General features: G+C 34.8%; 1 long non-coding RNA gene across 1 annotated transcript in view; it reads left to right on the plus strand.

Moving 5' to 3' along the window:
• Positions 1-21823, plus strand: part of LINC00558 (long intergenic non-protein coding RNA 558) — a 60701-nt gene that overhangs the window by 17843 nt on the left and 21035 nt on the right. The window contains exons 2-4 of the long non-coding RNA NR_047488.1: positions 5478-5528; positions 7422-7549; positions 11084-11261. This is a non-coding gene — a long non-coding RNA (long intergenic non-protein coding RNA 558). The remainder of the gene's footprint in view (positions 1-5477; positions 5529-7421; positions 7550-11083; positions 11262-21823) is intronic.

A 21823-nucleotide genomic window follows, 5' to 3' on the forward strand; every position in this document is an offset into this window, starting at 1 on the left:
ATTTGACTTTTACTCAACATAATGGTTTGAAGTTTATTCACATTATCACACTTTGTGGCTTGTTCCTTCTTATGAGTAAGAATTCTATGATTTAATTAATCTACTATTTATGGACATTTGGATTGTTTACACTTTGGGGACACTATGAATAAAGCTACTGTAAATATTCTAGTAAAATACTTCATGTGGACATATGCACTTATTTCTTTTGAATATGGCAGTGGCTTATAAGGTAGGTGTGTGTCAGACTTTGTCAGAAAGAACCTAACAGTAATAACAGTGTCATTTTGGACTCCCATCAGCAATATATAAAAATTTTTAGTTGTTCCACACTTTACCATTTAAATATTGTCAAATTTTAAAACTTTATGCATTTGTTGTACATATCATATTTTATCACAGTTTTAATTTTGCATTTATCTGATAATTAATACTTTTCATATGCACATTAGCCATATGGATATTTTGTAAAAATGTTCAAGATTTGCCATTTTATTGGACTGTTTGCATTTTCATTATTGATTAGTTGGATTTTTAGAAATTTTATTACATATAGTCTAAGTAAAAGTGCTTTGACAAGTGTTTATATATGCACACATGGGTATATGTACATATATGTATATATATGTCATTCATATATAAAATATTGCAGTGACCTTATCCTGTAGATAGCTTTCTAATTTGACAATTTATTTCCCACTAGGAGGCATTTTATATTCAGAATAGCTTGGTAGAACATAATGTACATGAGATGGGACATTGTTATTAAAAGAAACTGTTTTCTTTTGGTGCTTCTAAGTTTTCTCCATTACTATGTAGATTGAAAATGTTTGTGTGACTTTCTTTCTCTACCCAGCCATTCCATAAATTGTAAATTGTAAATTCCAGGTGATTTTCTTTTTGACAATAAGTGATTTGGAAAGATCAGATATATCTTACTAAGGAATCTCTTATTCCCCTAAAATAATTTTTTTTCTGTATCTTGCTTTTAGTAAATACCATTATTAACATGATCCCAAATAGGTCTGGTCAAAGTTAATAATTTCCTAGAATATTTCCCAGTGTGGAAAATGTCATAGATCCATTGCTAACTCTTTACCAGTTGCATTTTTATTTTTATGCAATTCAAAATACTTCGAATTTCTATTGTAATGTCTTCCTAGACCCACTGAATACCAATAATTTAATTAATTTTCAAATACCTGAAAATATCCCAGATATCTTCTTGTTATTGATTTATAATTTTTTCTGTTGTGAAGAGAAAACATTCTATATGATTCAAAGTCTTTGAAAGTATTCGATTCTTGCTTCATGACTGCTACAGTTTGACTATATCCACCAAATTTCATATGTTGAAAACTTAAATTCAGATGTTGATGATATTTACAGGTGAGACCTTTGAGAGGTAATTAGAATGAGATAAGATCATTGGGGTGGTGCTTCCATGATCAGACTTGTGGCTTTATAAGAAGAGCAAAAGAATTCTGAGCTGGCAAGCTTTTGCCCTCTCCCCCTATGATGACCTCTGCTGTTTATGATGCAACAGGAAGGCCCTTAACAGATGCCCATTCCATGGTTTTTGACTTCCCAGACTCCAGAACCATGAACCTGATTAACTTCTATTGTTTATGGGCTAGCCTGTGGTATCCTGCTATAGCAACAGAAAACGGACTAAAACAATGGCTAATATATGGTTTTTTAGGGGGGTGGATACTCCATGTGCACTTTAAAAGAATGTGTATTAAGTAGTTATTTGCATAATGCTTTATGAATATCTATTCATTCAAGTCAGTTATTGGAATTATTTAAACCTCCTGTAAACTTATTTTCACTTGCTTATTTTACTTACTATTGAGAAAGTGGTGTTAAAAATCTCCAGTTATGACTGTATCTACTTCTACTTTTAGTTCTCTCACTTTTTTTCATACCTTTGAAGCTATGTCATTAGATGCATACACATAGGAACATACACATTTAGGACTGTAATATCTTCAGGAAATGATACTTTTGTCATTACACTATGTCCATCTGTTTCTAGTAATACTTATTGTCTTAAAATCTATTTGTTCTGATATTAGTATAGCCACATCTGCTTTCTTTTCCTTTTTTATTGTATACACATTCATATTTTTATATTTAAGATGCCATTTGTGAAAAGCATGTACATTTGACCATTGAACAAGTGTTTGAACTTTGTGGGTCAAAGATACACACACTTTTTTCAATAAAAGTTACACTGAGTGTGCCTGCCTCTTCTGTACCCCCTTCCACCTCCTCCACCTCTGCTACCCCTGAGACAATAAGATCAACCCCTCCTCTTCCTCCTCTTTCTTGACCTACTCAACATGAGGACAATGAGGATGAAGACCTCCCTAACTACTGTGTGTTGCTCAAGGGTCAACTATAGTTGTTTAGCTTATTTTTTATGTCAATCTAATAATCTCTATCTTTTGAGTGAATTCATTTGCATTTAATGTAATTGCTGATAATTTTGTCTATTATCTTGTACTTTGATTTTATTTCCTTCATCTTTTCATTAGTCCTTTGTTCTTTCCTAATATTCTTTGATAAAGTGAATTTTTTTCAGCATTCTAATTCATTATCTTTATTGACTTTTTAGTTACAAATCCTTTTTTAATATTCAGTGGTTATACTAGAGTTTAGTTTATATTGAATTAATATAAAAATTCCTGAACTATAAAAGAATTATATAATAGTATAATTTCATTTACCCTGTCATTCCAGTCTCTGTAATATTGTTATCATATATTTTACTTCTACATATATTTTTGAGCCACAAAAATGTTGTTATGCTTGCTTTAAATAACCAATAGTCTTTTTTCAAAAGACCATTATGTATTTACTCCTATATTTATCTTTTCAAGTACTTTTTATTTCTTCTGGCATATCTGGGCCTTCGTCTTCTATAATTTTTCTATAGCATGAAATTTGCCTTAGCATTTTTTAAAGTACAGATCTGCTGGTAATAAGTTTTCTTCATCTTTTGTCTGAAAATGTCTCTATTTGGCTGTTATTTTCTAAATACTTCTTGAGATATGGTTTATATAGATGCCATTACATTCCCTTATTTTAATTATACACTTCAATAAATTTTAATAAATTTACAGGATTGTGTAACATTCTCATAGTCTATTTTCACTTTGATAAAAATCCCTCATGCCAATTTACAGCTAATCTTTCTTCCCAAACCCAGTTCCAGGCAACCACTAATCTATTTTGTTTCTATAAGTTTGCCTATATTAGACACTTCATACAAATGTAATCAAGCAATATACTATTTTATGTCTGCATATAGCATAAATCTTTATAAATTTATTTCATGAGTAACATATCAGTATTTAACTGCTGTTTATTACTCAATAATATTTTATTCTATGGGTATACAAGTTTCTTAAATATTAATTTATCATTAATTAATGATTGACATCTGAGTCATTTCTATTTGTTGGTTATTTTGAATAGTGCTGCTATGAAAATTCATGTGAAAATGTTGGGGTAAACTTATGTGTTCATTTCCCTAGTTATATGCATAAGAATGGAACTGGTAGGTCACATAATGTATTTTTAAATTTTAAGTAAAATGTCAAATATTTTCCAATATATCAATTTAATATGTAAAGTTTGATATTTTCTTATACATATACACAGTGAACAGATTATTATAGTCAAACTAACAATATCCATGTCTTCACATGGTTAACTTTTGTGTGTTTGTGGTGAGAACACTTAGGCTCTACTCTCAGTAAATTTTACATACACAATACAATATTAGTAATTGTAGTCTTCATGCTGTCCTTCACATTGCTAGAGGTTATTCATTTTACATAACTGAAACTTTGTACGCTTTAACTGACATCTCCCCATTTCTCCTTGCCTTTTCCTCTGGTAACCACCATTCTACTATCTGTTTTTGTAAATTCAACTTTTAGGATTCCACATATAAGTAATACTATGAATTTTTTTGTATCTGGCTTATTTTACTTATCATATTTTCTCAAGATTTATCTATGTTGTCACAAATGACAGGTTTTCTACTTTTAAAGGCTAAATAACATGGCATTGTATGTATATATTCATGTATGTATGTTTTTAAACACACATACACACACACACACACCCCATTCATCCACTGATGGACAGAGACTGTTTCCATATCTTGCCTACTGTGGATAATGCTGCAGTGAACTTGGGAGTATAGGTATCTCTTCAAAATACTAATCTTATATCATTTGGATATGTACCCAGAAGAGGGATTTCTGGTTTATACAGTTTTTAATTTTTTGAGAAACTTTCATACTGATTTCCATCATGGCTGTAGCAATTTACAGTCCCACCAGTAGTGTATACAAATTCCCTTTTCTTCATATCCTCACCAATATTTGTTATCATTTTGTCTGTTTGATAACAGCCATCCTAGCAGGTATGAGATGATATCTTGTTGTAGTTTTGATTAGGATTTTCCTGATGATTAGTGATAATACTCACTTCTTCATATACCTATTCGCTATCTGTATGTCTTATCTGGAAAAGTGTCTATTCAAGTCGTTCGCCCATTTTTATGTTAACATTATTTGGGTTGTTGTTATTGACTTATATTGTTATTATGTATTATTTATGTATTGTGGATATTAACCCATTATCAGATATACGGTTTGAAAATATTTTCTCCCATTCTGTAGGCTGTGCTTTCATTTTATTGATTGTTTCTTGTGCTGTGTAGAAGCTTTTTAGGTTAATGCATTCCCATGTGTTTACTTTTGCTTTTGTTGCCTGTAGTTTTGGTGCCAGATCCAAAAATTAATTACCAAGCCCAATACCAGATTGTAACTTACGTTGTTTTTTTTTTTTTTTCTAAATTTTAATGTTTTCAGATCCTACATTTAGGTCACCCATTTCAAGTTAATTTTTGTGTATAGTGTAAGATAAAGTTCAAATTTTGCTCTTTTGCATGTGGATATCCAGTTTTCCCAACATCTTTTATTGAAGAGCCTCTCTTTTCCTTATTATGTATTCTTGGTGCCCTTGCCAAAATTAGTTGATGAAATATGCGCTGGTTGATTGCTGGGCTCCCTATTCTGTCTTATTGGTCTACATGTATCATGGTTTTTACTGCCAGTAACATGCTGTTTTAATTACTATTATTTTGCAGTATAATTTGAAATAAAGATGTGTGATAACTTCAATTTTGTTGTTTTTTCTTCAGAATGTTTTGGCTATTCAGAACCTTTGTGGTTCAAGAAAAGTTTTAGGATTTTTTAAATATCTGTGAGAAAATGCTATTGGGATTTTGATAGTTATTGTACTGGATCTTACTTCAGTCTTGGTAGGTTGCATGTTTCTAGGAATGTATCCATTTCTTCTGCATTATCCAATTTGTTTACATACAGTTGTTTATGTCCTTTTTTATTTCTGAGACATCCCTTGTAATGTCTTCATTTATTTTTATTTTACTTTAGACTTACATAGGCTGGAAGTAAAAGGATGGAAAAAAGAGTCTCCACACAAAGGTAACTAACCAAAAAAGCAAGAGTGGCTCTACTTACTTACATTATATAAAACAATACAATACAATACAATACAATAACAGGAGGCAAGTACGAGGTGTCAATAGCCTACTTTAAATAATGGATAGAATATTCAAACAGAAAATGAATAAAGAACAGTGGATTTGAACAATACTGTAGACCAAGTAAATGTAACAAAATATACAGAAATTTAGACCCAATGGCAAAAGGGTGTACATTCTTTTCAAGTGTACCCGAAATGTTCTACAGCATAAATCACATTAGGTTACAAGTCTTAACAAAATTAGGAAGATTTGAAATCATACTGTAACATGTTGAATGAAACTAGAAATCAATAACAGCAAGAAAATGGGCTAATTCATAAACACAGGGAAACTAAATGACACATTACTGAACAATCATTTGGTCAAAGAGGAATCAAAAGAGAATTTAAAAATATCTCTAGACAAATGAAACAAATACATAGCTTACTAAAACTTATGGAATCAGCAAAAGCATTAGTATCAGGAGGATTTATGGTGATAAAAAACTGCATTTAAAAAGAATGATCTCAAACAGTCAGAATGATCTCAAACAGTCTAACATTATAACTCAATGGATGAGTAAAAGAACAAATTAAGCCCAAAATTAGAAGAAGGAAATAATAAAGATCAGAACAGGAATGAATCAAATAGAGAATAGAAAAATCACCAAAACTGATCTTTTAAAAGATGAAATTTTAAAACCCTTCACAAGACTAAGGAAAATAGTTATGCCTCAAATACATCACAAATGAAAAAGGAGACTTTTTCCCTTTCCACACAGAAAACATATTCCATAATTTTCTACTTTCCATTTTTCTCCTGACAAGTCAACTGTCATTCTTGCTGTTTTCCTGCATGTTTTGGATGTCTTAAGCTTTTCTATGTTTTATCAGTATTTAACAATTTTACTCTAATGTTTGTAGATATAGTCTTCTTAAAAATTTGGACCTACTTAGGATCTGCTAAACTTCTTGAATATGTGGATTGATGCTACTTATTAAAAATTGAAAATTTCAGTTGTATATTTTCAATCTTTTTTTAGTAATTTTCTCTCTCCTCTCATTCTGGGACTATATATGTACACTTATTAGATTGTTTGATAGTGTCATTCTGAAACTGTGTTCTGTTTATTAATATACATTAGTGGTTTCTTCTCTTTTTCAATTTGGATGATGTCTATTTGACCTTTTGGTGAAATTATGTTTTTGCTTCAAACTGTATGCTATTAAGCTATCAATATATTCAACATTTCAGATATTTTATTTATCAAAATTAAAATTTTAACTTGTATTTTTTTAGTTTACATATCTCCTCTGAGGTACTCCATATCCTAAATTGTATAGATATATTCTTATTGTACTTAATTTCACATGTTTATAATAGTGATTGCATTAAGTCAGAGGTTTATAGAAGCTGAAACCCAGGAAAAAGAGCTACCATTTTCTAGCCAATGTCATTGTGGAGAAAGTAATTGTGATTTAGAAATCAAGAAATTTGCTGAATCTGTTGGAGTATTTTTGGGTAAAAGTAACAGAAAACCAAACTTCAACTGTATAAACAACAAATAGAACTCATTTACTCGTGTACTAAAAATATCCAAAAGTATTCAGGTATGAGGAAAAGTTTGATCAGATTATATAGGCACCAAATTTCCACTCTTTCACATTCTATTTCCTTCCTCTTCTGTGGTGTTGATGCAATTCTTGGCAGACTGTTCCCTCATGTTAACAAATGACTGCCAGAAGCATCTGGGGTTCTCTCATTTACCTCTAGAAATTCAATTAGTTTTCTATTGCTGTGTAACAAGTTGCCACAGACCTACAGATTAAACAATGCAAATTTATTCTTTCAGTTTCTGTAGGTCAGACATCCAGCAAGGAGTTTCTGGGTTCTTTGCTCTGGGTTTTAGGAGAGTGAATTCGAGATGTGAGCCAGACCAAGTTCTAATTTGTAAACTCTGAAGAAAAGTTATTGTCCAAGGTAATTCTCATTGTTGAAGAATTCAGTTCCTTGTGATGTAGGACTGAGGCTGCCATTTTCTTGCTACATGTCAGATGTTCTCATCCCTTAGAGTCTACCCACATTCTTTACCATGTAACCCCCTCCATTTTTAAGCCAGTTACATGACAAATCCCTTCCATGCCTCTGATTTCTTTCTCTCCTACCAGCTTGAGAAAATGTTTTGCTTATAAAGGGCTTGTGTGATTAAGTTAGGTCAATCCAGATAATCTTTGTATCTTAATCTGATTAGTAGCCTTAATTACATTGGCAAAATCCCTACTGCTATGTAATTTAACAAGCCTGGAGTAACACTAAAAGATAGAAATCATGGGGGCCATTTTGTAATTCTGCCAAACATGGCAAGGTTACTTCCATGTAGCTCATTGTTTTCATCATAGTTGACCCTTGGATGACATGCTTGGAACTGTGCAAGTCCACTTATATGCAAGTTATTTTTAATGTATACAGCAACCTTCTGTATTCATGGGTTCCACATCCAACAGTATTCACAGGATGCCAAACTTGAATATAGTGAGGCCCATTTTTTCTATATGTGGGTTGCATGGACACTAAAGTATCTGCAGATTTTGGTATCTTAGGAAGCCTGGAACCAGTCCTTTATGTATACTGAGGGGTGACGATACTGCATCAATCACTGTTGCCAGAGAAATGGGATGTAATAATTGACTTTGAGCAATTATGGCTCATCTCATCTGTGTAGTCCAGAAAGGGAGTCCTCTTAGGTAGGGGAAAGAGAAACTAGACACTGAGAAGGTAACACACTGCACTTGAGTTCTGGTCCCAGTAGCACCAGTTACCAACCATGTGGGTTTCAGCAGAAATTCTTTCAGATCGTGCACATTCACTAGTGTAAGCGTGCTGCACTTCTAAAAGCTGATCTTATAACTAGCACCAGAAGTCTGGACTTGGCCACTGGAACACTGTTTTCCTGAAAGATGAGAGAACTGCACACCCACAATATTCTTAGTGTTGCAGAGAAAGCCTTTCAGGACTTTCTATACCCTTATTAATACTAGAGCACAAATTCAGATATTTTAAAATAAAAATTTTGTCATTTTACAGATACACTTTTTAAGCATATTGACTAATGGAATTTTAGTTTGCAGCTCATTCATCTTGGAGTATATAACAGGAAGATTGTTTGGCATTAGAAATTCCATCTGAACTTTATTTCATGTGAACATGTATGTGTATAATTTTTCTTTAAGATTAAAACATTAAGAAACATTCATAATGAGGTAACATTGATTATGCTTTGTCCTAGAAACATTTTTTGTCAATTTTCCAACTTTCTATTTGCTGGAGTAGACCTAAGACTAATTTCTAAAGGAAAAAAAAACTAAAAACTTCACCAAGCATACTTTTTAAATATCGTTTACTAGCCATACATTCAGGCAAAAATCTTCATTAGACTTATTTTATGCTTATCCTTCTCGATTGATTGTTAGTGAATGTAAGAAATGTGCTTTAATCCGAAGAACAGAAGTTTCTTTTTCCAGGTTCTTGTCAAATATAAACTCAAATTTCTTGATGTTTGATTATTAAATGCTCATTTTGAGATATCACATTTTTGAAATATTTCCTGAAGGCCACACAGCATATGTTCTTCTAGGTGTCCTGAGTGTTACCTTTGAATCAAGTATAATCACAAGGGTCTATATACTGTATTGGCCAGGATTATTTCAACACCCTCTTAAGCTTACTTTTACTGAATTATGATTTAGTACTAGGTTATTTAACCACATTGAAAGACTTCATCTGAAAGGGCAACGTGAAAAGTGTTATTATATGCAGTATAAAGAAGCATAGGGAAACATTGAGCTCTTTATTACATAAAGAATCCCCTTTATGAGAAACCAAATAAGAAATTTCCCTTTAGTGTACAAACCAATCAAGAATAGCTTTGCTTCTTCTGAAGAACTGATATGACTTCATATTCAGATCATTCTTTGGTCACCAGGAACCATATACATAGACTACCATCCCCCACCACTCTTCTATAATACAATATGTCATGCATTTTTACCTACATATTCAATGCCAGAGTTGACTATTTTCTCTTTATACTGACTCTTAACTATATATCTTTTTATTAATGTATTTTTGTAAAATGCCTCAAATCCTTTGTGAAATATAAAAGGGTACTTGAAGAACAAGTCAAATACTTTTATTTGTATTCTCATTTTCTATTTTATTTAAAGTTGATAAATTATGTGTTTTATGTAGTAGCTATTTAAAATATGTCCTTCATATATAAGTTAATACAAATATAAGTTAATACAAATATATTTGTATGGCTCCTATGGCCGGGCTTAGTTCTGAGCATAAAAGGTAAAAGACAGTGCCTGCTTGAAAAGACTTTCCATGTTACTGGTGGAGAAAAATAAACTGAAAATAATAATGTGAGGGGCTGTGTGAACAGAAAGGAAGGATGCCTATCTCAGACTTGTATTTGTCAGACAAGACTTTACAAGATATGTTTCAATTGAATTTTGAAGGGTTTGCATTAGCCAGGTCAAAAGGTAATAGGAGCGGTATGTAGGGGAGGGATATTGCCAGAGAGAAGAGCCTATAGAAATTTACCACAACGGCAGGGCGTGGTGGCTCACGCCTGTAATCCCAACGCTTTGGGAGGTCGAGGCGGGCAGGTCACCTGAGGTCGGGAGTTCAAGACCAGCTTGACAAACATGGAGAAATCCTGCCTCTACCAAAAATACAAAATTAGTTGGGCATGGTGGCACATGCCTATAAGCTACTCAGGAGGCTGAGGCAGGAGAATCATTTGAACCCGGGAGACGGAGGTTGCGGTGAGCCGAGATAGCACCATTGCACTCCAGCCTGGGCAATAAGAGTGAAACTCTGTCTCAAAAACAAAAAAGAAAGAAAGAAATTTACCAAAACATCAGGGGTGGTCTTTGACTATTTCAGAATGGCTTGAGAACAGGCTACAAGAGCACTATCGGGAAATAAGGCTAGATGATGAAGGGCCTTAACGTCAAACTAAGGATTATTTTTTCTAAATTTTTAATTTAAATTTTATTCTAAGTTCCGGGGTACATGTGCAGGATGTATAGTTTTTTTACACAGGTAAACGTGTGCCATGGTGGTTTGCTGCACCTATCAACCCATCACCTAGGTATTAAGCCTAGCATGCATTAGCTCTTTTCCCTAATGCTTTCCCCCAACCACTTTTTTTTTCCCCGAAGTACCAGGGAGACCCTGAAGGATCTTTATGGAAAGATATGAAGTCAAACAAATAGAAACATTTCTTGTATCTTCAACAGCTAACATTGTGTCTTGATTGAAGTTACTAGATATTCAATTAATATTGGTTAAATTATTAGTGGGTCGAGAAGTACAGCTACATATTTCATTCATAATCTCCTTAACATGTTTCCTTCATAAGCATTTCCATTCATGAACGCTGTTGGAAAGGGGAGACTGTTCTCTCTCTCCATTTCACCCTGTTTCTATTTCTGCTCATTCTTTTAGGTATTTTGTGGTGAAGATGAACTCTAGAATCAGGTACTGCAATTTGAATGCTGGCTCCACAACTGATAAGGTACATGCCCTGGGACAAACCACACCACCTCTCAGAGCCTGTCACAAGGCAGTCAGGACATTTTAGGAGCAAACGCCTATGAAGCTCGTAAAAAGGGCTTGGCTTATGGTAAGATTCCTAAGAGTTAGCAGTGCTGTAGCAGGTTTATTCTATTTTCTATCACTATTTTTTCACACAGTTGTCTTTTCCATATTTATGTGTCTGCTTTGGCAAAGTGAAGCACAGTTTCCTCTACATAGTTTCTATACTACAGACACCTGTTTTGCCCCAGAGGCCTCTGAAGAATGTACATAATCAGAAAAAAATTTAGCACACATGGCTTTATTTCACTGACATGAAGACAGCTTTTATCTTAAAATCTTTATTTTCTTTCAGTTCTAAACATTTTGCATTATTGTTCTTCACACTTTCGGAGAATCTGAATCGTTGTAAATACCATTCTAATTTTTGTTTCTGCTAGAAGCATTATACTTATTCCCTTAAGCTCCCTTAAGCTTCCTGTGAAAGAAGTCGCTAACCTTAAACAAATAGTTGACTTATGTACTATTTTTGATGAGTCAGACATTCACCCTCTTTCTGTCATAAGATATATATGCAAATATTTAATATAAAGTATGTATTTTTATACACAGGGATGTATAATATAAATTAAGTAAATGAGTATGTATATTTATTTTCATCTCTATTCTCGTAGTTTAAATCTAAAAAGTACCAAGATTGGACTTTGTTTTAAAATGCTTGTCAATTCCCAAAGAGGGTTTGAGGTCATTTCCAAAAAAAAAAAAAAAAAAAAAAAAAAAAAAAGACTTACAGTCAAACCAAAACCTACTACAATCACTATAAATAACAAAATCTCAGTACTAAAGGAGAAAGAAGAATATTAAGATTGATAGAAAAATAATCTTTAAGTACTTTTGAAGTAAAGAAACCAGAGGAATCACTGTATCCTTCTCCAGAATACTTTTGTTTTTGCTCCACTGACAGTTTTGTTTTTTGTTTTTAATAAATGAACCCTGCAGAGGAAGTTTGGGAAAAATAGACTTTGCTAAGTCATTTTCTTATTGCCTCAGTTCTGCCTCACCCCAGCTTGCAGAGGCTAGTCTTTCTCTACCATGCTTATTTCACTACGAGTTTGCCTACCAATCATTACTCACTCTCATTTTTCAGGATACAAAGTGGTGTTTCATCTCTAGAGCCCACATCTACTTCCCTTGATGAGATATTTTGTTACAATTATCACTTTGCCAGTAATTTTGTTTTGTCTAGAAGGGAGGTAGGAGATGCAGGCAATACAGGGATTGGAGCTGTATTTGCCACCTTACTCTCTTTCATATGCGACCCTTCTTTTTGTATTCCTTCCATATATCCATACAAGGATTGTCACATTTTCTATCCCCCCTTTTCTGGTCCTGGATTTTTGAAGCTTTTATCTTCTTGGTTTCAAGTTAGCGCTGGAAGTTTAACTGGATAGAGGGAGAAATAGGAAACAGATATACTTCATTATATGTAAATCTTGATTTTGCACATGGATGCTCAGAATGCCATAACAGTTTTCTACTATAACATAATAGATATACGGAGCTTTTTGCAGATACCAGTGCCAGGCATGGATTTGTTTTCATTCATGTAGTATATCACTCATGATTTTGTCCAAATCTGTACCTTTCACACTGTTCACTGCTCCCTGATCTTTCAGCACAAGCAAACAATCTTCTGAAAATACCTCTCTCGGTTTGAAGGACAATTAGTGAGAAACATGCCAGAAAGGTTATTATGCCTATTTTCTGGCCAGAGCACTTTGAATCACCCAAAGAAAAACTAAGCATTATTTTGACATTCTTTGTCTGAACACTGACTATGTGTTTCTGAAGATAAGGTTGGCAAACTGTTTCCACAGCCGGATCCACACAGCGTGACATGTGCTTGTGAAAGGAACTCATCTGGTCGAAGTTCTCCTGCCCTTATGCCATGCAGAGTTCAGCTGGAATTTGAAGCTTGAGTAGTGTTTCTTTTCAAAGGCCATTAACTGTCCATGATAACATAAAGTTATTATGAACTGTAACATTCCATTCATCCTGGACTGTTGACTGATCACACGTCTAATTTCATAGTAACACAATAGGTCACAACAGTTATTTTATTTACTAATTCAGAGATTAGATTGGTTTAAGTTGAATATCAAATTGCCAGGTCATAATAAAATGATTTTTTAAAAGAATGTTTTGAGAGAAAGGTAAAGAAAAGCAGCTGGGCATGATGGCTCACGCCTGTAATCCCAGTACTTTGGGAGGCTGAGGCAAGTGGATCACTTGAGGTCAGGGGTTCAAGACCAGCTTAGCCAATGTGGTGAAACCCCATCTCTACTAAAAATACAAAACAATTAGCTGGTGTGGTAGTGAGCACCTGTAATCCCAGCTACTCGGGAGCTGAGGCAGGAGAATCGCTGGAGCCCATGAGGCGGAGGCTGCAATAAGCCAAGATTGCGCCACTGCACTCCAGCCTGGGTGACAGAGCAAGACTCTTAAGAAAAAAAAAAAAAGCATTTAACTTAAAACTGGTTTTATAGGCCAACTGCCACACTTATTTTTCTTTCTTGCTTTTCTTCTAGTTTTCTAAACGTTTGTGGCACTTTTCCTACATGCTTACCCTAGTACTTCTCCAGCTTGCAGACTTTTAGGAATTTCTGCTCTCCCTACTGCTGCCTTTGAGCCATTTATGATAAATCCTTCTAGCTGTAAGCAACTTTGACGTCTACCACCTGGTCACACACACATTTTGCTGAACCTTTTATGCAAATAACCTAAGAGGTGACTATTATGATTTGAATTTGTCTCTAAAATTCATGTTAGAAACCTAATCTCCAGTGCAATGTGTTGAGAAGTGGGACCTTTAAGGAATAATGAGGTAATGAGGACTTTACCCTCATGAATAAATTAATGTCACTATCATGGAAGAGGCTTAGTTTTCACTGGGTTCCTCATAAAAGGATGAGTTTGGACCCCTTTCCTTGCACATGCTCTCCTGCCCTTCCACCTTTCAACATGGGATGATGCAGCAAGAAGGCCGGTGTCAGACTTCCCAGCCTCCAGAATTATGAGAAATAAATTTGTTTTGTATAAATTACCCAGTGTCAGGTATCCTTTCATAGCAGCACAAAACAGACTAAGACAGTGACTTAGAACAGGTGTAAAAACTTCCTGTTCCATTGCCTGGTTCCATTACTTCCTATTTTTTTCCCACTAAGCTGATGTTCAGTTCCATCCATGCTGCTTTTATAGCTGCTGTTCAAACTTTAATGAGGACAATCAATGCTTGCTCTGCCTTTTTTAAAATAAACAGATTAGAACTTAGAAATTACAATGTCGAACAACTCTGATTGAGTAAACACAATTATATTAAAACTGTGAATTAAGAACAGTATCTTACAAATTTAATACCTTAATTTACAGACAACGAAGGACCAAATGTCTCTGTTGACTGTTATGCATCTTCAATTACTATTCAGCCGTGGTGACCTTGCCTCAGCAAATAGCATTTAAGCCCATTTATTCTTTTTCTACCCTGAGGAGACCAGTTATAAGTTTGTCTCCCATAGGGATGATCAGCATCAGGGCAGCTTGCTTCGTGTCTGTTATTATAAGGCTTTTGACGCATGCTCACCCATGTTTGAAATACAGGTACAACCATAACGATCTACCCCACAGGTCGGGTGCTTTTGTTTTTACTCACCCTATTTTCCAAACAAAGGCATAAGATAAAAATAAGTTTACTACAGTGCCATTTAACTTCACATGTAGCCACCTTAGCTACTGATTGCACATCAATTATTGTTTCTATTTGCTTCTGTACTTTCATTTCATGACCTAACAATGACAAAAAAACCCTCAAATATGGATATTACAATTAATTAGAAAGTATAGCACCAGATGTACCTTTTCTGGGGTTTAATGTTGCAAAATTACCTAGAGGTGGCCTCACTGTGGATTGAGGGCTTGATTCAGGTGAAGAACGAGGCTGCTTCTGCACCTTCAATACGTGAACACTTTTGGTTAATGAGCCCTCGGACATACATGGGAAAGCCCTCTTTTCCTTTCTGTAAATTGAGGACGAAAAGAGATGAGTCACTGAGTTTAACAGATGTCTCCAATTACAGTAATGACGGGCCCTGATTCTGAGAGGCCCACAGGTTTATTCCACATTGTGAGGATTAAATACAAAACCAGGACAAAACACTACTGCTCAGAAAAATGCCCTTGGATCCTACACAATGCCTGTTTTATTTGTACAATGTGGAATATTTTACTGAAGTATAACTTAGCAGGCATTATGCATATCAAAGGCAAATGCCATAAACTAACCCCTCGACTAAGGCTAGGGAATTAGGCAGGCTGAGATTATGCATGGGCCTTTCCCATATATGCATTCTTCTTTTCTTGACTTACACTGACTCTTTTGTGTCTTTATTTGTCACGCTGCTTAAACAAGAACTCCTGCTTCCCTGGCCACTCTCAATATGTTGATGAAAAGGGAAGATGGTCAAGCCCTGGGAGAATAGGAGGAGACTAGGGGGCATCCCATTATCAACCCCACCTGGTTAGGAGCCTCATTTTCCCCACATTACTATCAGGAAGAGTGTGCTCTGAGTTTACTATCTACTCTTGTAGATACTACAGTGATTTCCCACTCTGATTATATTTTTACTCCTACTAAAATGTTTTTACTCCTTTTCCAGTTCACTCAAATTCTTCTCATGCCATAAGGTCCAGTCCCAGTGAATATGCCCTGCTTGCACCTGAATTCAAGGAGCCCGAATAAAATCCCCCCCTCTCATCTGCATCCTGAACTTTCTCTTTCCTCATATGGGCACTACCAGTATTCCAATGTTCCAGGATGATGCCTTACAGTCCTATTTCCTTATGTGTCTCATATTGCAGGTGGCAAAGCATCCATAGCGGTCTCATCTTTTGCTTCCTTACATTCCTCAGATTCCCAGTCCAATGATAAAATTCTGGCTCCATTTTACCTCAGCTATCCACTCAGTTTCTCAAATGTAAAAATAGAAAATAGGTTTTGGCTTCTCTGCACATATTCTTGCATTGGTAACAGCTGCCTGTGTTGAGATGGCTTTTGAGAGGTTGGGTGGGAGAGAGCCATGATTGATTGGCTGGAGACAACAGGTCTGGACTAGAAGAGGTGACACTAGCACCACATACATGAGATTCCACCCCAAATCATAGATATGGTCATGTTAGAAAAGAAAAATAGTCCTCGACCATAACACATGAATCCCATCCCTAGTCTTTGAATTTTGATTAGCTTTTCTTCCCCTGTAAGTTCTCTTTTCTTAAGCCACATTGAACCACTGCAATTGCCAAAACACATTTTGTATCTTTGTTTCTTCTCATACCTTTCCCTTTACATTTCCCCCTAAACAATTAAAAGTCTTGTTACCAGATTAAATCTTGCTTCTTCCATGGCATATCATGTAATAACTTTCTCTCCTTGTCTGGTCTATGGCCTGTGCACATATGCACAATGCCTTTATCTTATTTTCCACTTTCTTCTCCTATCTGATCCTGTGCTATTGTTTATATGTTGCTATGTTATGGAATCTTGGAACTAAAATCTCTCATCTCACTCTACACCCAAACTGTCCTTTGCCTGGAACTATTTTAGAGGGGAGAAAATTAAAACTCACAGGAGTTATGACACATATGTCTGAAATCTACCGACAAGAGGGAACTGGAACTCAGCTCTCCTGAAAACGGCTCTTCCCAGTTGTCGTATTATATTGTGAAAACAGACCAGTTCACAACAAGCAACAGCAAATGAGCGCTTCATCGAATGATCACTTTCCTAAATAATGTGGCAGATTTTTAATTTTTTCTTTGAGGATTTGTCAGTAGAGCTTTTCTGAACATTAATCTCTCATATGTTAGCCTTTTAGAAGTAAGCTGTTTTATCACTTATGTAAAATTAGGTTCCCTTTTCCTTATGCATGTTATTCTTTTCTGCATTTTGTACTCACATACTAATTCCTTGCCCACCATTTTCCTGTGTCCCTGGCTCTGGCTTCTGTCTGCAACCCTCCCTGTCTGTTGTTTAAGGTCTGGTCTCCATGCTTGCCCCTTTGTCTGCTGCTACTCCTTCACCATCTCTGATCTTTCCTGATCTAATACTGTGAACAGTTCCAGCTCTGATCTCTGATGGTGAAATGGATGTATCAATTGTCTTAGATCCATACTATGAATATTCCTTAGATCCATATTATAAATATTTATCAGACAGTTTTTGGAATTTTAAAAAGTTATTTGGCTACTACTTTTCCACTAAATTGACCTAAGAGAGTGAATTATACATTTTCTGAGGTCAGGAAACGCTTCTTGTCTACCTTTGAAAGACCCAAAATACCTAATAGTGAAATGTGCAAACAGTAGTGTCCAGTAAGTGCTTGTTGAATTGGGAAATAAATCCAAGGCTGAACTCTATGATCATGAGGGCTTTGATTTATAAATTTAAAGGAAGACTAAAACAAACTATTACTTTTCTTTAAAAAAAGAAAGTAAATTTTTTTTGCAAGGTATGGAAAGCACAGATATAAATATATTCTTATTTTATTTATTGGTTTATCTTTACCAGACCTAGTATACTTAAAATTGCAAATTTTGCTTGAACAATTTTGGAATCATGAAGCGTATAAAGTGGTTTTGTTTGGAAAAATGCATGCCCACTTTCTCATTTGAAAAATATAAGGTATTACAATTCGATAAATTCAGTAATTCAATAAATAATTACTGAAAAAATAAAAACCTCTGTTAGCAGAATTTACTTGACCACAGAGCATCAATGCATTACCTTTGATGATTAGCCGGGGTTCTAAATCTATGTGCTAATGAATTCAATATGTGCAATGGGGGAATAGGTAAAACCATAAAACCTCAAAGCTTCAGCTTCTGTAAGCCTCCTTGGTGCAAGCAATCATATCAATGGCAGTTCGAGCTTCCCTGGACAAAACAGAAGCCACATTTTCTATTTATCTCCAATATTGCAACCAAACAAAACTTTGGAACTACTTAAATTTAAATGTATAGCAAAGTAGTAATGAAATGAATTAGTATAGATGGTGTCTGTGTAAAATGGAAACCTACAATAAGTGCTGGACCTCAGGGAATACTTTCCCTTTCACTTGAGTGAAGACAGGCTGGGTGCAGTGACTCATGCTTGTAATATCAACAATTTGGGAAGCCCAGGCAGAAGGATCGCTTGAGGCCAGGAGATTGAGATCAGCCTGGGCAATACAGTGAGACCCCCATCTCTACAAAAACTTTTTAAAAAAAGTTAGTTGGGTGTGGTGGTACATGTTTGTAGTTACTCAGGGGGCTGTGGCAGGAGGATGGCTTGAGCCCTGGAGTTAGTTCAACACTGCAGTGAGCCGTGGTGGTGCCACTGAACTCCACCCTGCATGACAGAGCAAGACCGTGTCTCAAAAAAAAAAAAAAAAAAAAAAAAAAAAAAAAATAGGGGGTAGGAGATAGGTCTAATGTCCAAGGTTAATTAACATCATGTCCAATGCTAATGCTCAAATGAGCAGATTATAAATTACATCAATTTTATTTTCTGTCTAATGCTAGTTTTGGTTGAGACCTAGACAGTTCTTATATGGACACAGAAAAATTTATTTGGAACCCTGCCATTGCTACTTGCTGTCTACAGTATTTCTCAAACTTTGGGTAAATTGTGGAGACTTTATGAAAATCACAGACCAAGCACTAAACTTGAAATTTATGAGAATGAATTACAGCATTTAGATTTGTAGTACTGCCATACGGGATTCTATGTCACTGACAAGTTCAACTATCGATGTAAAGAATTTGGACAAAATTTCCTAAACTTTCTGAACCTTAGTTTCTCTGTAGGAGGAAAAAATAATACTGATCAGATTGTTGGGAAGGCCACATGAGATAACATTGTGAATTGCATAAATACTGGCATGTGCCCTTTTCTTCTATCCTGTAGCTTGAATGTGGCCTTCCAAGGTATTGTATTTACCCAAGCTGTAGTAATCGTTATAACCCACCTCTTCAGGCTTTCTTATTTTTTTGTATACACCTATTCTCTATTCTTATTTTGATTTTGTCATTTTTAGTCATTAATCTGTCTTATATTAATAGGAAAATAAACTCCCTTTAATGAACAACATCTTGCTGTACCATTAAAGACTATTAAATTGAAAAATCTTTTAGTTAGTAGAAATATTCTTAGGAAAACACCAGCAAAATACTCAAGCAGGAAAGAAAAATTTTAGTTTAGGGACAAGAACTATGCAAGCTGTTAAAATATTAGTTTCTTAACTGACTTCTCCAATATTTGTAATTTTGTAGACATAATTTGTGTTGAAGTCTACTCAGTAAGAAAGTCTCAGTAAATGCATTCTCACCTGGATATAAGGTGGTCAAAAAGTTTCCAAACAATTTCTCCTTATCTATTTTAATAGCGTTTTCTCTTTATCATGGTATTGCTTGAATAATGAAACAAAATTACTAATAAAGGAATTATGGTCTCAACATTTCTTAATAAGCACATGAAAAGAAACTATTAACTACAGATGAAAGTAGAAGTTCTTAGTTTTGTTTCTAAATAGTTTTGATCTTCAAAAAATAGATGATATTTCCCAATTCAATTTCATAATATTGAAGTTATGAGATAGTGTCATGAACACCTAATAACTGCACTTGCCAAACTATTCAAAATAGAGCTAAATTGTATAAAGTTCTCCTTTTGATCCCCAATATCATTGAATGTCTAGTTTAGTTAGTCTTGTAAAACAGGTTGCAGGTTTAAGTTTAGAATTTCTGTGTCAACAGTAGAGTGGTCATTACCAAGGATGATTTAAAGACATGGGGAAAAATCCTTAACATATCCCTAAAATAGTATATTTTTAATTTAGGAGTAGAGGAGGTTAAAATGTTTATTAAATAGGCATGGATTTTGAAAGTTGGAGAACTCCTGCTTTGGACTTAACATGTTTGAGGAGAACCTGTCATCTTCAGCCATCACAAAATCATGGTCCTGTATCCAGGGTTGTGTCTGAATTGAGTTAGTAGTGGTAGCCCTACATGGTAATTTGAAATGCAAAAGCAGACTTTTATTCTGTGGGACGAAGTGGAGCAGACATATCTTTGAAAGCAGCTTTAATAGCATACCCTCCAGAAAAGTAAAGGAAGGAACTTGTTCTATTGTTCTAGACTATGTTCACCTTTGAAAAATTCAATATTAATCATTGCTCAGCTTTACTTCCAATACTGTGGCTATAAGGGCAGAATCCCAACTTTCTCTGGGAGAGCAGATAGTTGTCATTGATGATTATCTATCCTCTGAGTGGCTGGTAATAGAAATATTTTATTCATTATCTATCTGATTGCACCCTCACAATTCACCCTTTAGCCTTTGTAGAGGAGGTGGCACAGGTTAGTTTTCAAGTGTTAGATTTTTCCACAGGTCAGATTCTAAATACACAATATTCTTTCCTGTACTTTTAGCATTACTTTTCTGTAATAATTTGTTATTCAACGTTGAGCCTTCAGTCTATGTAGCTACCTAATCTATACAAACATTACACTGCCAAAAAAGAAAACAAAATCAATATATATATTTGATTTATATGAACAATATAAACACATGTATTAATTGTGGCCATGAAGTCTGGATGTGACCAATAAAATTATGGGTCATAAAAAAATCACATCCTAGGTACCCTCTCAAATTTTCTGACTTCCCTGTCCCTGGAGGCCTGAAATAAAAACATAAGTTTGAAAGTTTTATTAATAAGTATAGACTAGGCTACATGCTGTGATAACAAAGAAACCCCAATATCTCAGTGGCTTAAAGTAAGTGTTGGCAAACAACAGTCCATAGGCAAAATCCAGCGCAGCACTTGTTTTAGTAAATAGAACTTTATCGGCACACAGCCGCTCTCATTCATTTACTCTCTGTCTATGGCTACTTTCTTACTATAATGGCAGAGCTGAGTAGTTGCAATAGAGACCATATAGCCTGTAAGTTTAAAATATGAATCATCTGTCATTTTATAGAAAAAATTGCTGACTCTGCACTTAAAGGATAAAAGTTTTATTTTTTGTTCATCCAAGGTCTACTATCCAAACATTCTCCCTAAAGCAGCTCACCTCTAAGCTCTTGACTCAGATGTCTAAGTTGATTCCATCTCAGGACTGTACTTTCTCAATATAAAGCTTTCACTTTGGCCTAGGAGAGATTGACATCACGCATTAGTGATAGCCAGTCCAATGAAATGGACTTACTGCACCACAAAGGATCTGGATTATGTGAGGGAGAACATTGGTATTTGATCAACAGTAGAAATCATTGCCATATCAGTCATCTGCACATAAGTGATACTTAAGGACATGAAGCTGGATTAATTTATCAAGGAAGAGTTTTGATAGAGGAGAGAAAAGGTTCAAGGACTGTCTTGGGGCATTCCTAAACAGCGTTAAGAGCTCGGAAAGAATAAGAGCTATCAAGAATAATATAATGGAACAACCAGGGAGATATGTGTAAAACCAGTTACTTGTGGGTGTCCTGGATGCCAAGGGAAGGAAATGTATTTAGAAAGAAGAAATTATATGCCAAATGCTCATGATAGGCCAAAG

The sequence above is a fragment of the Homo sapiens genome, chromosome 13 (genome assembly GCF_000001405.40).
Source record: "Homo sapiens chromosome 13, GRCh38.p14 Primary Assembly".
Classification (NCBI taxonomy): Eukaryota; Metazoa; Chordata; class Mammalia; order Primates; family Hominidae; genus Homo; species Homo sapiens.